This window comes from Homo sapiens, chromosome 13, assembly GCF_000001405.40.
Source record: "Homo sapiens chromosome 13, GRCh38.p14 Primary Assembly".
Lineage (NCBI taxonomy): Eukaryota > Metazoa > Chordata > Mammalia > Primates > Hominidae > Homo > Homo sapiens.
The window spans coordinates 49270790-49286358 of NC_000013.11; the positions used below are offsets into that span (position 1 = coordinate 49270790).

The 15569-nt window shown below is 38.6% G+C and overlaps 1 protein-coding gene across 9 annotated transcripts in view; it reads left to right on the forward strand.

Moving 5' to 3' along the window:
* The window catches only part of CDADC1 (cytidine and dCMP deaminase domain containing 1), a 45561-nt gene that overhangs the window by 22865 nt on the left and 7127 nt on the right, over positions 1 to 15569 (forward strand). For all 9 annotated transcript variants that reach the window (NR_036439.2, NM_030911.4, NM_001193478.2 and 6 more), the window contains 4 exons: positions 3502 to 3551; positions 7561 to 7730; positions 9720 to 9909; positions 15433 to 15493. Coding sequence is in view for 8 of the 9 variants with exons in the window: in NM_030911.4 (NP_112173.1) it covers positions 3502 to 3551; positions 7561 to 7730; positions 9720 to 9909; positions 15433 to 15493 (471 nt within the window). In the remaining variant the exon portion in view is untranslated. The remainder of the gene's footprint in view (positions 1 to 3501; positions 3552 to 7560; positions 7731 to 9719; positions 9910 to 15432; positions 15494 to 15569) is intronic.

Sequence of the window (15569 nt, forward strand, 5' to 3'; positions counted from 1 at the left end):
AGTTTATGGAACACCTACTATGTGTCAAGCACTGAGCTTGGTGATTTATATATGTATCTCATTTAACATTGAGGGTACTTCAGTAAGGTGGATATCCCTATGATACAGTGCGCTTCCAATTAAGCTTTTAATTTCACATTATTCAGTTTGGTTTGATGACCTCATTTCTCCCTAATTAATAGATGAAGATACCATTTCATTTAAAAATGTACATATGATTAAAATGAATTCCAAAACCTCTAACAACAGAGTTCTAAAATGAATTGAAAGTAGTTGCTTATAATTGCTTTTTGAATGATGAATAAAGAGGATCCATAGAGATGTCATGAAAAGTATGTTACTAGCCAGGTGCGGTGGCTCCCGCCTGTAATACCAGCACTGGGAGACTGAGGCAGGAGGACTGCTTGAGGCCAGGAGTTCCAAAAGTATGTTTCTAGAATACCCGAAGGTAGCAAAAAAGTGGAAAAAAAAAGTGTTTAGACTCTTGGGGAAAAAAGAGCAGGAGGAAGGCATCAAAAATCTTATCTATCTGCTTTAAGTACTGAGTTGTGATCTCTTCGTGTCTTGCTTTCTCATCAGATTAGGTGTTTTCCAAAGCTAAGGATTATGCCTTCCTCCTGGGCCACAGTACTGATAATGAGAGTAGGCTGGAGTAATCAAGAAAGTTAACTTTTAAAACAGAACTCAGTGGTTCTCAGATATGAGTATGCCTGAGAATCAAGGGGGAGCTCAGGAGTAATGCAGATTCCTAAGCCTTGCCTGCCTCTCTCAGAGAGGTTGATTTAGGGGACTTCCATGGAAGCCAGGAGTTGCCTCTTTTTTTTTTTTTTTAAATTTTAAAAACAAGCATCCAGTAATTTTGATGCAAGAGGACTGTGGAGCACCTTGGACACTGACATGACCACAGGATTGGGAGCTAAAATAACCACACCTGTGTTCTAGAACAAAAAGTTCCCCTCTGATTTTCAGTGATCAAAGAGCCCCAGGAATTTGACTCAATGATTGTAAGTTGACCTTTCCTTCAAAGTTGTACAGAGAAAACCCTGTGAATGACCAGATCATAGGGAGCAATTTCTGTAAAAATTATAGACATGAAAAGATTTTTGAGAAATTACCTCATCTGTCACCAGCCTTGATGCTGAGTGACATCAAATCTGTTTTATATGGATGAAAATTTATTCCTATTTTAAAAGACAAGTAGTAAAGAATATTCTCTTGATGTAACCAACCTTAGCTAGGCAGCAGAGCTGCATGCTGATGGAAAAATCACATTTTTTTTTTCCTCCTAACAAGGTTTAGTCTGTCCCCAGGCTGAAACAGAAAAAGTGGCTTCTGTGACTAAGAAACATAACATTAAAAATATGCAGTGTTGATGGTAGAAAAGGGGGCTTTTAATATGGAGAATTTTTATTCTGGTTTTTTATTTTTTCATTTTAGATTTATGCATAAATTAAATAAAACTTTAAAGATTTTGGTTTTGCAGGCAAATATAATCTTATGTTTATAACTTCTGCCACTTACCTTAGAAATGAGCATAAAGCCATTGATTTGTATTCTTGCCCACTCATGTTAAACTCTAAAGGTCTAGGAAGGAACCCAATTTTGTTTACACCAAAATCCCTTTTCCCTCTACTCTGTAGAAGGAAGTCATCTCGTGCACTCTGCTGTTCAGCCTCATTTATTTCCTTCAGAGCACAGCACATAAAGTACTGTTTGTTTCCTTGTTGCTGTTCTCCTTCACCATCCAACTGTAAGTCGTATGAGGAAGGGACTACAGTTTCCCTCACCACTGCATCCTCAGTTCTCACAGTACTTGGAACATAAGAGGCATTCAATAAATGGAAATTTTTGTCAAGGATTTCTTTTTCTTTTTTTTTTTTTTTTTTGAGATGGAGTTCTGCTCTGTCCCCCAGGCTGGAGTGAAGTGGTACGATCTCAACTCACTGCAACCTCCGCCTCCCAGGTTTAAGCAATTCTCCTGCCTCAGCCTCCCAGGTAGCTGGGATTACAGGCATGCACCACCACACCTGGCTAATTTTTGTATTTTTAGTAGAGACGGGGTTTCACCATGTTGGCCAGGCTGTGTCAAGGAATTCTTTATGTCACGGTGCAAGGTGGAGGAAAGGCCAAGCAGGTTGGATCTGGAGGGCTAAGTTTTAGTCTATTTCTTTGCCTGTTTCTGCATCTAGAAATGGAAATTTTATCTGCTTTACCTTTAGGGTAAAAATGAGATCATGAATAAACATGTTTAACATAAATTATACAAATGCTTTGTGGTATAATTTTGAAAACCAGGGTTTGCTTGAATTTGAGATGGGAAATTTTATTAGAGTATCATAACTGTTTTAAAGTTAACCTCTTAATAAGACATTCATTCTAGTTTTTAATGCAATTGTGGCACAAATTTTCTTTGTACCTTTACTGGAAAGTAGGTATTTAAAAATGTTATCATTGGAGGGATTCACTTTTAGGAAATTGTAGGGTGAAACCACGGTTTCAGTTAATCCTCCCCAAAATGAAAATGCCTTAGGGTAAGTTCACAGATAATTGTTATTTTCTACGTGTAAATGTGCCACTTAACTACCTTAGTCCCTTATTAAGATTTTGATAAATACTATGGTTTTCATAATTAGTGTAATTTGTCTTAGAAATTTGAAACTCAACATTGTATAGAAGGAAAAAGTAAATCCTTAATATGTAGAATTTCTATTTTGTTTTTTAATTTTCTGTTTCAGATTAATGGTTTTAAGAAGTACAGCTTTACTTTTGCAAAGGTTTTGGTTCTACAGGGAAATTATAATCTTATGTTTGTTTATAACTTCTGCTATTTGATTTAGAAATGGGCAAGATGTCATTAACTTGCATTCTTTTTCCCTCAAGGTAAACTGAAGGTCAAAGAAAGGACAACATTTTGTTTAAATCAGAATTCTCTTCATGTACTTTCTAGCAATAGATAGATAGATCCATAAAGATTTGTTTATGTTCGTATGAGAAGTTTGAACTTTTTTCTTAGCAAGAACATTTTCATAAGATATATTTTCCATGATTAGAGTATAAATAATGCTGGGAAAAGACAAATTTGGTTGTTGTGAACAGTTATTACACAAAATCCATTAGTTCTGAAACCTTTATTAAATTTTATCACCTATCAGAAGTAGTTGTTTAGAAACCGGCTTGTTAATGGAGAATCAATGAAGTTGCACTTAGTTCTGGCTACAGCTTTGAGGGACCTGACTGTGGACACTGCCATTTAGTGGCCTCCACATACGTATGTGTGACTGAGTTGGTAGTGACTCTCTCTAGTTATTTGGTACCTAGCTCCCATATTCCATACTTAAAAGTGTTTATTTTAATACTTTTCTGTAATTAGTGAAGATACAAGGATTGCTGCTACATTTATGAAGTATGTTTCAATACAAGTTTTTATTACTTTTGGAAAAATATATTTCTAAAACTAACATATCATAATTTTTACTGAGTTAAATGCCATATATCTTTCAGAGGATCATAAAACAGGAGTTGGGGCAGTCATTTGGGCAGAAGGGAAATCTGTAAGTATGAAAACAATTCTTTAAATATTTAACCTGGATTTTGTTTAAACATAGTTCAGTCTTCGGTGCATTACAGGTTACTGACTGCCAAGGCGGGCAGATCACAAGGTCAGGAGATTGAGACCATCCTGGCTAACACAATGAAACCCCATCTCTACTAAAAAAAAAAAAAATACAAAAATTAGCTGGGCGTGGTGGCGGGTGCCTGTAGTCCCAGCTACTCGGGAGGCTGAGACAGGAGAATGGTGTGAACCCGGGAGGCCGAGCTTGCTGTGAGCAGAGATCGTGCCACTGCACTCCAGCCTGGGTGACAGAGCGAGACTCCGTCTCAAAAAAAAAAAAATATTAATATTTTTGTAATGGTGCATTTATGAAGATCTATAAAGATTTGCTCATCCCTCAACAGTTTTCTAGATAGACGCATTCATTCAGCAAACATTTGTTAAACACTCTCTACAGGTTAGGCACTGTGCCACAGTGAATGCTGGGGATTAAAGATCACATTTTATGGCCTCATAGTTTAGTGATGGAGATGTAGAAGTAAAATATAACTGATATGTAAGTGTAATTATAACTGATATCATGAGAACATAGAGGAGGAACCTTTGCTTGGAAAAATAAGTAAATACTGTTGGTGAATATTATTAATGTTACTAATATAATATTCTTGAAGAATAAGATAATTTCTTCAGACAGAGCAAGTCAATAGGACCAGGAGGATAACATGAATATTCTTGGTGAACATTCTTTTTTTTTTTTTTTTGAGACAGAGTCCCCCTCTGTCACCCAGGCTGGAGTGCAGTGGTGCAATCTTGGCTCACTGCAACCTCTGCCTCCTGGATTCAAGTGATTCTCATGCCTCAGCCTCTTGAATAGCTGGGACTATAGGCATGTACCACCACACCTGGCTCATTTTTGTATTTTTAGTAGAGATGGGATTTTGCCATGTTGACCAGGCTGGTCTTGAACTCCTGGCCTCAAGCAGTCCACCCTCTTCTGCCTCCCAAAGTGCTGGGATCACAGGTGTGAGCCACCATGCCTGCCCTGAATATTCTTAATATTAATATTAATAATGTTAAAATTCTTGAAGATTAGGAGGATATCATCAGGCAGAGCAAGTTAATGGGACCAGGAGAATAACACACAGAGACTGGGGTGAGAGAGAGAATATGGGAAAACGCATTTGATTTGGCACATAGAGTAAGCAACAAAGTGGACGGGACCATGAAGAACTCTATATTCCATGTAAAGATTTTGGACTTTATCCTGGCAGTGACATACTATAGCACAGCACTAACCAGTAGAGAGAAAAGGCAAGGCTCAAACTGAATTTTAAATTTTCTAGGTGTTATATATATATATATATATATATATATATATATATATAGAGAGAGAGAGAGAGAGAGAGAGAGAGAGAGAGAGAGAGAGAGAGAGAGAGAGAGAGAGAGAGAGAGAGTCTCACTCTGTTGCCAGGCTGGAGTGCAGTGGTGCAGTCTGAGCTCACTGCAACCTCTGCCTCCTGGGTTCAAGCAATTCTCCTGTCTCAGCCTCCCCAGTAGCTGGGACTACAGGTGTGTGCCACCACACCCAGCTAATTTTTGTGTTTTTAGTAGAGATGGGGTTTCACCATGTTGTCCAGAATGGTCTCAATCTCTTGACTTCGTGATCCACCTGCCTTGGCCTCCCAAAGTGCTGGGATTACAGGTGTGAACCACTGCAACCAGCTGGAGCCATGTTTTTAAAAGGAAGACAGATAAATTAATTTTAAGAAAATATTTAATCATGTAATCAATAAAAAATTATTGATGAAATATTCTGCATTTAAAAAATATTAAATCTTCAAAATTCTATGTGTATTTTACACCTGCAGCACCTCTCAATCTAGACTAACCACATGTGGCTAGTGGCGACTGTATGGGACAGTGCATTCCAAGAATGTTCTAAGTGGGGAAATGATTTGATCAGATTTGCATTATAAATAGAATGAGGTAGGGCTAGACAGAAAATAAGGAGATTAATAAAAAGAGATGAGGACTTGGAGATGTGGGGATGGGTTAGGAGGCTAGAATCAAGAGATATTTAGTAACTATATAGCTGACTGAAAGGTGAGCCTACATTTTGCCTCAGGGACTTCACAGAAAGTAATCTGACAATTTGCTTTGATGTTTCACAAACTCCTCAAGTTCACTCATCCAGTATCTTCCCTGCTAACCTCCTCCCTCATCAGTGGTCACCATCTTGTCTGTTACTGTACACATACAATCACCTAGCACAATGGATTCCACCTTCAAAATACCTCTTGACTCTACTTACCTGTACCCCAACTGTTAACTCCTACTAGAATACTAGGCTCCTCTGCCAGAAATTCCTCAGCACTCTGTACAACTTGTCTGTGACATTCATCACAGTTAAAGTTATCTGTTCAATTTCTTACCCTCCCCAGACTAGAAGGCTCATGAGGGTAGGGACTCTCTGTCTTGTTTACAGTTGTATTCCAGCACCTAGCATAGGTCTAACTGGTGGTTGGAACTCTCATTTGTGTGTACATGAATGCTCAGCAGACTTTTGGCTTAACATCTGGTTGTTAATGATTTTGTGGAGAATGTCAGTTTCTAGTTATCTCTAGAGTAGGCCAGCAGGCAGCACGGTGAAATGGAAAGACACATGGCTTAGAGTCAAGTAATCTGGGCTTGAATTCTGGCTATGTTACTTACTCATTTTGTGACCCTAGACAATTAATCACTCTTGTCCTCAGTTTCCTTATCTGTAAAACAGTAATATTAATAGTATCACTCTTTAGGTTGTTTCAAGAATTGATCAAATGAAATGATCCATGTAAAACTCAGTATGGCTGGGTGCAGTGGCTCATGCCTGTAATCCAGCACTTTGGGAGGCGGGGGTGGGAGGATTCCTTGAGCCCAGGAGTCCAAGACAATCCTGGGCATCATGGTGAGACCCCGTTGCTACAAAAAAAGAAAAAATTAGCCAGGCATAGTGACATACGCCTGTGGTCCCAGCTACTTGGGAGGCTGAGATGGGAGGATGACTTGAGCCCAGGAAGTCAAACCTGGGTGACAGAGTGAGACCCTGTCTCTAAATAAATAAATAAATAAATAACTCAGCATGATGTTTGACATTTAGTAAATGTTCAAACAGATTTATTAATGAGATAATATTTTGTTTGCAGGCTTTTGTTGGCTCACTATTACATGATTTTTATGAAGCTGCTACAGTAATGAGTCTGTTGATATTATCATGAGTAATTATAATATATTGAAATTTAATGAGTTTTATAGCATATTCCAAAAAACTATTACACACACATTACTAATATTTCATTCTAATAATTGATAAAGCATTCATATTAACTACTATTTCTCTTTAAAAGAGAAATAAGAGCCATTGAAGTAAGAAGTTCTATAATAATATGCATATAATAGAGGCTTAATAAATACTGAAGATGAAAATGCATTTTTTATTTTCCAACTAAATCACAATAGCACATTTTTAGCCCAACAGAAATTTTCTGTTTAAAGTATTTAAAAGTTTTTGACTTGCTAACCAGTAGCATGGCACAGAGCACATAAGAAATTAACAATCACTTGTTGAGTACCTGCTATGTACAGAATACTCGAACATGTTGAAGGGATGGAAAAGAAATATATAACATGGTTTCTGCTCTCCAGGATCTATAATTTATTTGGGAAGTAATATCTGAATCAAGTGAAATAATTTGTTAGTTAAGTAAGATAGTATTTAATTAATTGCAAAAAACAAGGACTTCCTTGAGATTATAGATTAGAGAGGTGGTTGGCCTTCTTGGAATTTAGCTTTGACAAGATCACACTGCAGTAGGAGTATCTGGTATTATATTTTTTGATAGCTCAGTTTACTGTAGAAAATTGAATGAATATTCATTATACAAAGTATGATAGCAAGCTTCAAAAATACATTGCAAAGTGTCTTTTCAGAATGTTGAAACTAACCATTGGTTTGCTCACTCTCGTAGAGAAGTTGTGATGGAACAGGTGCCATGTACTTTGTAGGATGTGGTTACAATGCTTTTCCTGTTGGATCTGAGTATGCTGACTTCCCACACATGGATGACAAGCAGAAAGACAGAGAAATAAGGAAATTCAGATACATCATACATGCGGAACAGAATGCCTTGACATTTAGGTATGAAATCCTTCTTGGTGTACTTTTCTTTAAAATGTAGCAAGGGTTGGTTGAAATTAATTTTCTTATAATTGTAATTTATTTCCTTTTTCAAATTCCAAGAAAGTTTCCTTTCAGAAGTATAACTTTGGTAAAGCTTGGTCCTCACTGCCAGACCTGAAGCTATGACCTGACCTGAGGTCATCGCCTCTTCAGGTCTTCCCAATTTGTTGAGCATGTCTTTTTTTCCCTTGCCTCTCTCCAATATGAAACTGCTTTAAGTTTATCCTTTGGGATCTTGCTCAGCCTCTCATATTTCTGGATGTTAAGGCTCCTTTGTTTTCTAAATCTGGAGCACGCATTTATTAATACAGTTACACGCCACAGAAAGACATTTTGAGCAACGATGGACTACATGCACAACGTGTTCCCATAAGATTATAACAGAGCTGAAAAATTCCTGAGTGAAGTAGCCATTGTAACATCACACGTTACCTTTTTTATGTTCAGATACGCAAATACTTACCATTGTGTTACAATGGCCTGCAGTATTCAGAATAGGGATTTATAATGAACCAAATTGCTTCAAAAGAGCTTTTGTTAGTGATTATACCTGTTAATTTACATCATTTTCACAAACACTTCTCAGCCTTTACCATTAAGGTTAAGGGATTAAAAAACTGTGTAAGACATGACTCCTGTCCTTGGAGAGCTTCTAATGCAATAGGGGATATGAGACGGCATCCACCTCGTGCTGTGGATTCTGTGGGAGGGGCAAATGTAAAGTGCTGCGGACATTCTGGAGCTGCTATGGACAAATGGGAGAGTGCAAGGGAAAGGCTTTAGGGAAGAACTGGCATCTGAACTGAGCTTTAAAGGATTCCTAGACTGGGGCAATTGGAAGGGAAGGGAAGACCATTCTTGCTTCTAGCATAAGCAACGGTCTAGAAGTAGGAAAATCCGTGGTGTGTTTAGGAGCATGAATATTCCAGTTAGGTTGGAATGTGGACACAAGGGAAAGACAGCTCACAAGGACAGGCTGGGACTGGACTCGAGAGGACTTTGAGTTTATGCTCCATTTGGTAGGCAGCGGGGAAATGGAATGGCATTGACAGAGCCATACGCTATAGATTATGTAGGTAGTATTGTTTGAACAGACTAGATGCATAGAATTCTGTTGCCCTAGTCCAGGTGAACGTAAATAACAGTCTCAACAAGGAAGATGGATGTGGAAGGCTGGCGGTGGAGGAATTGAAGATGGCTGGCTGAGAGCTACGTAAGCCTCAGAACCCGGAAGTCAGTCCTTGCAGCCCCAGTTGTTAGTCCTAAACTACCCTCAGCATGCAAAATTTCACCCAAAATTCCCTCTATTCTTTTCCTTGTCCTCTTCATTACAGATTTACTTGCTTCATTTTGTACAGAGGTGTGAATATATCAAATAGAAACTTTTCTTTTTAAAATTATCCTATGATAGGGAAGGGGTAAGGGAACTATAAGTCAAAACAGAACTTAAGTATTTGATTATTCATTTAGTAAACATTTATTGACTATCCACTAGGTACCAGATAGGGCTGTGTCATTTGTCTAACAAGATGAGTTAGTGTCTAATCAGACATGATTAGCTCTTAAGGTATCAGTTTCAAATCTAATTCCAGTATTCTAAACAGGTACTTATTTAGAAAGCATTGGGGGTTTTTTCTCTCTTTCTTTGGTGTCTGTATCTTCCTGATTTCATTTATTTTGTAATCTGAAACTGAACCTCTTACTTAGAATCAATAAATTATTTTTAGTTATAATAATTGTCATGTTCAGGTTGTATCATAACACTTTTGTGGGTTTACATACTTTGAACATTCAGTAATTCAGCAAGTCTAAGGCTTGATGATCATTATTAATAATGTCATAAATCTGTTTTTAAAACAGCTCAATTTTAGTGTTTAAAGATTTTTCTAAAAAATAACTTACCCTTTCAGAAACGACCTTTCTGATATTTTATAATTTTTTTTGTAGGTGTCAAGAAATAAAACCAGAAGAAAGAAGCATGATTTTTGTGACAAAGTGCCCATGTGATGAGTGTGTACCTTTAATTAAAGGTGCAGGCATAAAACAAATCTATGCAGGAGATGTAGATGTTGGAAAAAAGAAGGCAGACATCTCTTACATGAGGTTCGGGGAGCTTGAAGGTGTTAGCAAATTTACGGTAAGTAGATACACATTTTTTTCAGGTGTATTTTGTATTATGTTGTTAGGTACCCTGCTGCAATATTGTAAGTTAGTGATTCCCACCCTTTTAAAGAGTTTCAACAAATTATTATTATTATTATTATTATTATTATTTTATTATTATTATTTGAGACAGAGTCTCTCTCTGTTGCCTAGGCTGGAGTGCCAGTGGCTCGATCTCGGCTCACTGCAGACTCCGCCTCCTGGGTTCAAGTGATTCTCCTGTCTCAGCCCCCCGAGTAGCTGGGATTACAGGCGCCGGCCACCACGCCTGGCTAATTTTTGTATTTTTAGTAGAGACGGGGTTTCGCCATGTTGTCCGGGCTGGTCTCAAACTCCTGAGCTCAGGTGATCCGCCCGCCTCCGTCTCCCAAAGTGCTGGGATTACAGGCGTAAGCCACCGCGCCCGGCCGAGTTTCAACAAATTATTATTATTATTGAGTTTATTTATATGTGCAAACCCTTACCTAACTGCAACTGTTCAGCTAAGGATTCCTGCCTTATGAATTTACATCTCTGTAGAGAATTGAGCCAGTGGATCTTTTGGTGCCATCTGGTGGCTGATAAAAGAAAAATCTCTGACCCATCTCTTCCCTCTCCTTTCTGGCTTAGAGAGGTGGATAGAGGTGAAAATACTTCAGCAGTCCCCACCCTTTTCGGCACCAGTGACCGGTTTTGTGGAAGACAATTTTTCCACAGATGGGGTTATGGTTTTGGGATGAAACTATTCCACCTCAGATCATCAGGCAATAGATTCTCATAAGGAGCACGCAGCCTAGATCCCTCAGGTGTGCAGTTCACAGTAGGGTTCTGCTCCTATGAGAATCTAATTCCACCGCTCATCTGACAGGAGGTGGAGCTCAGGCGGTAATGCTCGCTCGCCTGCACTCACTTGCTGCCGTGCGGCCCAGTTCCTAACAGGCCACGGACCAGTACTGGTTGCTGCCAAAGGTTTGGGATCCCCTGCAATAGTTTAAAGGTCACCCCCACCCCCAAACAAAGGGAGGTGCACACACACAAACACACACATTTCTCATGAGAAAAATCAGGAAAACAAGAATATTTGTTTATTTATTTATATATTTATTTTGAGATGGAGTTTCACTCATTGCCCAGGCTGGAGTGCAATGGCGTGATCTCGGCTCACTGCAAACTCAGCCTCCCGGGTTCCAGCGATTCTCCTGCCTTGCTACCCCCACCCCCCTCCCCCCACCCCCCAGTATCTGGGATTACAGGCGCACGCCACCATGCCCAGCTAATCTTTTGTATTTTTAATAATAGAGACGGGGTTTCACCATGTTGGCCAGGCTGCTCTTGAACTCCTGACCTCAGGTGATACACCGGCCTCGGCCACCCAAAGTGCTGGGATTATAGGCATGAGCCACCACGACTGGCCCGGGAAAAAAAGAATTTCTTATTTGATAGTTCCAAAAATGTACTGAGGTAGTTCATGGAAAACACAAGAACTTTTAAGTCTTTATACCTCTTCACTATTTGGGTTCTGGTTTTTGTGGGTTTTTTTTTTTTTTTTTTTGCTTTTGTTTTTGTTTTGAGACAGGGTCTCACTATCTCACCCAGGCTGGAGTGCAGTGGCGCCATCTTGGCAATCTCTGTCTCCTGGGCTCAAGCGATCTGCCTGCCTCAGCCTCCCAAAGTGCTGGGACAAGCATGAGCCACTGTTCTCAGCCTATTTTGGTTTTCAAAAAGCTTTTTATTTGGAAAAAACCTTAAGCATACAGAAAAGTTATAAAAACACTACAAAGAAATTTTTTCCCAGAAGTTGTTGACATGATACCAGCTCACCCTTTATTTCCTCAAATGAGAAATAACCACATAATTACAACCATAAAAATCAGGAAATTAACATTGATACATTACTGCCACTAATCCACAGATTCCAGTCAAGGTTCATTAGCTGCCCAAGAAATGTCTTATATAGCAGGTTTCCCCAACCCCTGGGTACCAGTTAAGAAGCTTCTTCTGTATTTATGGTCACTCCCCATTGCTCACATTACTGCTTAAGCTCTGCCTCCGGCCAGATCAGCAGCGGCATTAGATTCTCATGTGAGTGTGAACCCTATTGTGAACTGCCCATGCAAGGGATCTAGGTTGTGCACTCCTTATGAGAATCTAAAGCCTGATGATCCCCCATTCCTCACCATCTGGTCTGTGGAAAAACTTCCATGAAACCGGTACCTGGTCCCTGGTGCCACAAAGGTTGGGGACTGCTTTTATATAGCAAAAGGATCCTGTCCAGAATCATACATTGTTTCTATGACATCCAATGATTTAATCCTGGCATTGAATGAGTTAATGTAACATTTAACTACTAGAATTTGCAGTGGGAAGAAAAATGATATAAAAGAACCGTTTATATATTTCAGCTTTACATTCCTGCCATATACATCAGTTTGAGTCCAGGATACCTGGAACATACATATATATGATTAACTTGGACATATAACATATAATTATATATGTATATAATTTTAAATATAGAAACATACTATCCAGTGTCTGTCATGTGTATATGAAGTATCATAAGTTTTTACCATTTGTAATATTGTCATTTTTTTCTAATTGTCTTATTTAAAGTTTATCACATTTTTAAATGAGGGGGTGTTGACATGGCACTGAAAGAAGGCAGAGATGGGAAAGATACCTTTTTTGTAAAACTCAATAAAAGCTTATATCCAACTAGTCAGAGAAATCTCTACTTCCGTGTTTTTGTTTTCTGTCTCTTCATTCCTCCTGAAGAGTGTGAATAAATAGGTTTTTCAAGTTCTCCTCATAAAGATTAAGTGACTTAATCATAAAGATTAAGGACTATGAGTGATGGGTTATGGAGAATTCTGAAATATCTTGCTTACTGGTAGATTTTAATAGCTTTTCAATTGTAAAGAGAATGAAGAGATCAGAAGAACTTAAGAAAGGGCAAGAGAAGCAGAAGGAGGCAGGAAGACTAAGGGGATCTTCAGGGGCAGAGATGGGAAAGGAAGCACCCAGTTGGGCCAGACCCTCCCGGAAATACCCTCACTCAGGCACATGTTCCAAAGGCTGTTGTTCATGGTTGTTCTCTGTTCTACCTCCAGTGAAGATGAGCTGTCCATCTTCTCATCCTTCTCATCTGGCCTGGCTGCAAATATTATGTAGATGGTTAGCTAGATACCTAGTTTTGTAAATGCAAGTAATTAACATGAACTAGAATTTGTTCTAAATCTGAATTTCAGTACCAAGATTATCAAAAATAGTGTGTGTCAATAAATTTGGTATTTGTTTTTAAGATTAAAGCAAATTGAAATTACTTTGAAAGATTTTTTGCTTTCCTTTTTGATAAGTTACCATAGACCTTGAGATAAGTAGTTCTATTCTGTGGTGTTGTCACAAACCAGGCTAGGACTGGGCAACACTGTTTCCAAGAATAGATTTTATCAATCTATATCCATGTCCACATACTCAGTTCTTTGTTTTCTCTTTAATATGTGTGGATTTTTCTCTATTAGGTTATATTACTTATTTTTATTATGAAAGTAGTATATGCTCATTGTAGAAGACTAGGAAAATAAAAAAGAACGTGTATTATCTCACAACTCATAGATACCACAATTAACATGTTGCTGTATTTTCTGCCACTAAAAGTTCTTTAAAAAATATTTTAAATAATTTAACACAATATTCCAACCCATAGGCCTAACTTATTTAACCATTCCCATGTTGTTGGACACCTGGATTGTTTCTAAGTTTTTACAGTTATAAGAAGCCTTTTTATGAATGTCCTTAAACATAAATTCAGGATTACTTGTTTTTACTTTGTCTGCCCAAATTAATAGGTTTTAGTGGTTTGACGTCTTTCAAAAAATGCCTAATTTTAAACATTTTTTTGGTAATTTCTCATGTAGCTTCCTACCCTTTCTAAGTCTTCTCTCTTTCTTGGTGCTAGCCTAAACCATCCCATTCGTTTAAATAACCAACCATTTCTAGATGTCCTCCCTTTCCAGGGACTTTTAATACATGGTAAAATGTTTGTCCTGTATCTCATCCCCCCTCAAGGCTCGTGATGTTAACTAGTTAATCTGATGAGTGAACTGATGCTTATGGAAGAGGCTCCCGGGTAATCCATATTTGTGTCCTGAGATGGTGCCCTAGCAGGGCCTTTTGGTTAAGTCATTAGTGATTCTGATAGAGATTCTATCCAGCTGAGAAAAGAAGGGCTGTGCTATAAGATACCGATTACTCTCCATTTTTATTTTCTCCTGCCCCAATATTCTATGTAATATCTGTGAATCTTCAGGCTTCCCTATTTATTCCTGAATGGTTGAGATGAAATACAGTAATCAGAGGAGATATATGATATGATATAAAATGATATGATGCAGGTAATAGTTTATGATATAACAACATTAAAAGGCAAGGTAATCTTGGTCATATTTTCTTTTTCTTTTCTTTTTTTTTTCTTTTTTCTTTTTTTTTTTTGTGAGACAGAGTCTTGCTCTGTCTTCCAGGCTGGAGTGCAGTGGTGCAATCTCGGCTCACTGCAAGCTCCACCTCCCGGGTTCTCGCCATTCTCCTGCCTCAGCCTCTCGAGTAGCTGGGACTACAGGCACCGGCCACCACGCCCAGCTAATTTTTTGTATTTTTAGTAGAGACGGGGTTTCACCTTGTTAGCCAGGATGGTCTCTATCTGACCTCGTGATCCACCCACCTCAGCCTCCCAAAGTGCTGGGATTACAGGCGTGAGCCACTGTGCATGGCCTATCTTGGTCATATTTTCATTCTTTAATACCTAGGCCTTTTCTAGCTATTATAAGATTCTCTAGGACCTGGAGATAGAATACAATGCGATGTTAATTCCATAGTACTGGGCATGGGTTCTAATTCTATTGCCTCCTGTAGTTAGGGTGTAACCTGAGACAAGTCACTCCAATCCTCTGGTCTTCCACTTACTTCCAATTAAAATGAATGTAAAGAATCTTCAACTTCTCTAAGAGTATTGATTCGGATCCCAGAAGTTATATCATTCAGGATCACTCAGTGTGGCGTTATTAGGGCTTTGTTAATTTGAACATGCTAACTTCTTTTTCTTCTATTTTTTTAATTTTTTTTTTTTTTCAAGATGGAGGCTTGCTCTGTCACCCAGGCTGAAGTGCAGTGGCACCATCTCAGCTCACTGCAACCTCCACCTCCCAGGTTCAAGCAATTCTCTTACCTCAGCCTCCCAAGTAGCTAGGACTACAGGCGCGTGCCACCACGCCCAGCTAATTTTTGTATTTTTATTAAAGACGGAGTTTCACCATGTTGGCCAGGTTGGTCTCAAACTCCTTAACTCAGGTAATCCACCTACCTTGGCCTCCCAAAGTGCTGGGATTACAGGTGTGACCCACTATGCCCAGCCATTTTTCTTCCATTTTTAAGAAGTTGTTTTGATATTTAAAATCAATGTGCTGGAATGCTATGTATTAAATCCTCTTTAAACAAGTAAAATGTTTGTGCACTCTTACAGTGGCAGCTGAATCCATCAGGAGCTTATGGTCTTGAACAAAATGAGCCTGAAAGGAGAGAAAGTAAGTATTTATGTATTGAGGTGAACTTTGTTGCTGAGGAGAAAGGATATACAGTGAATTTTAATGATCAGGTGAT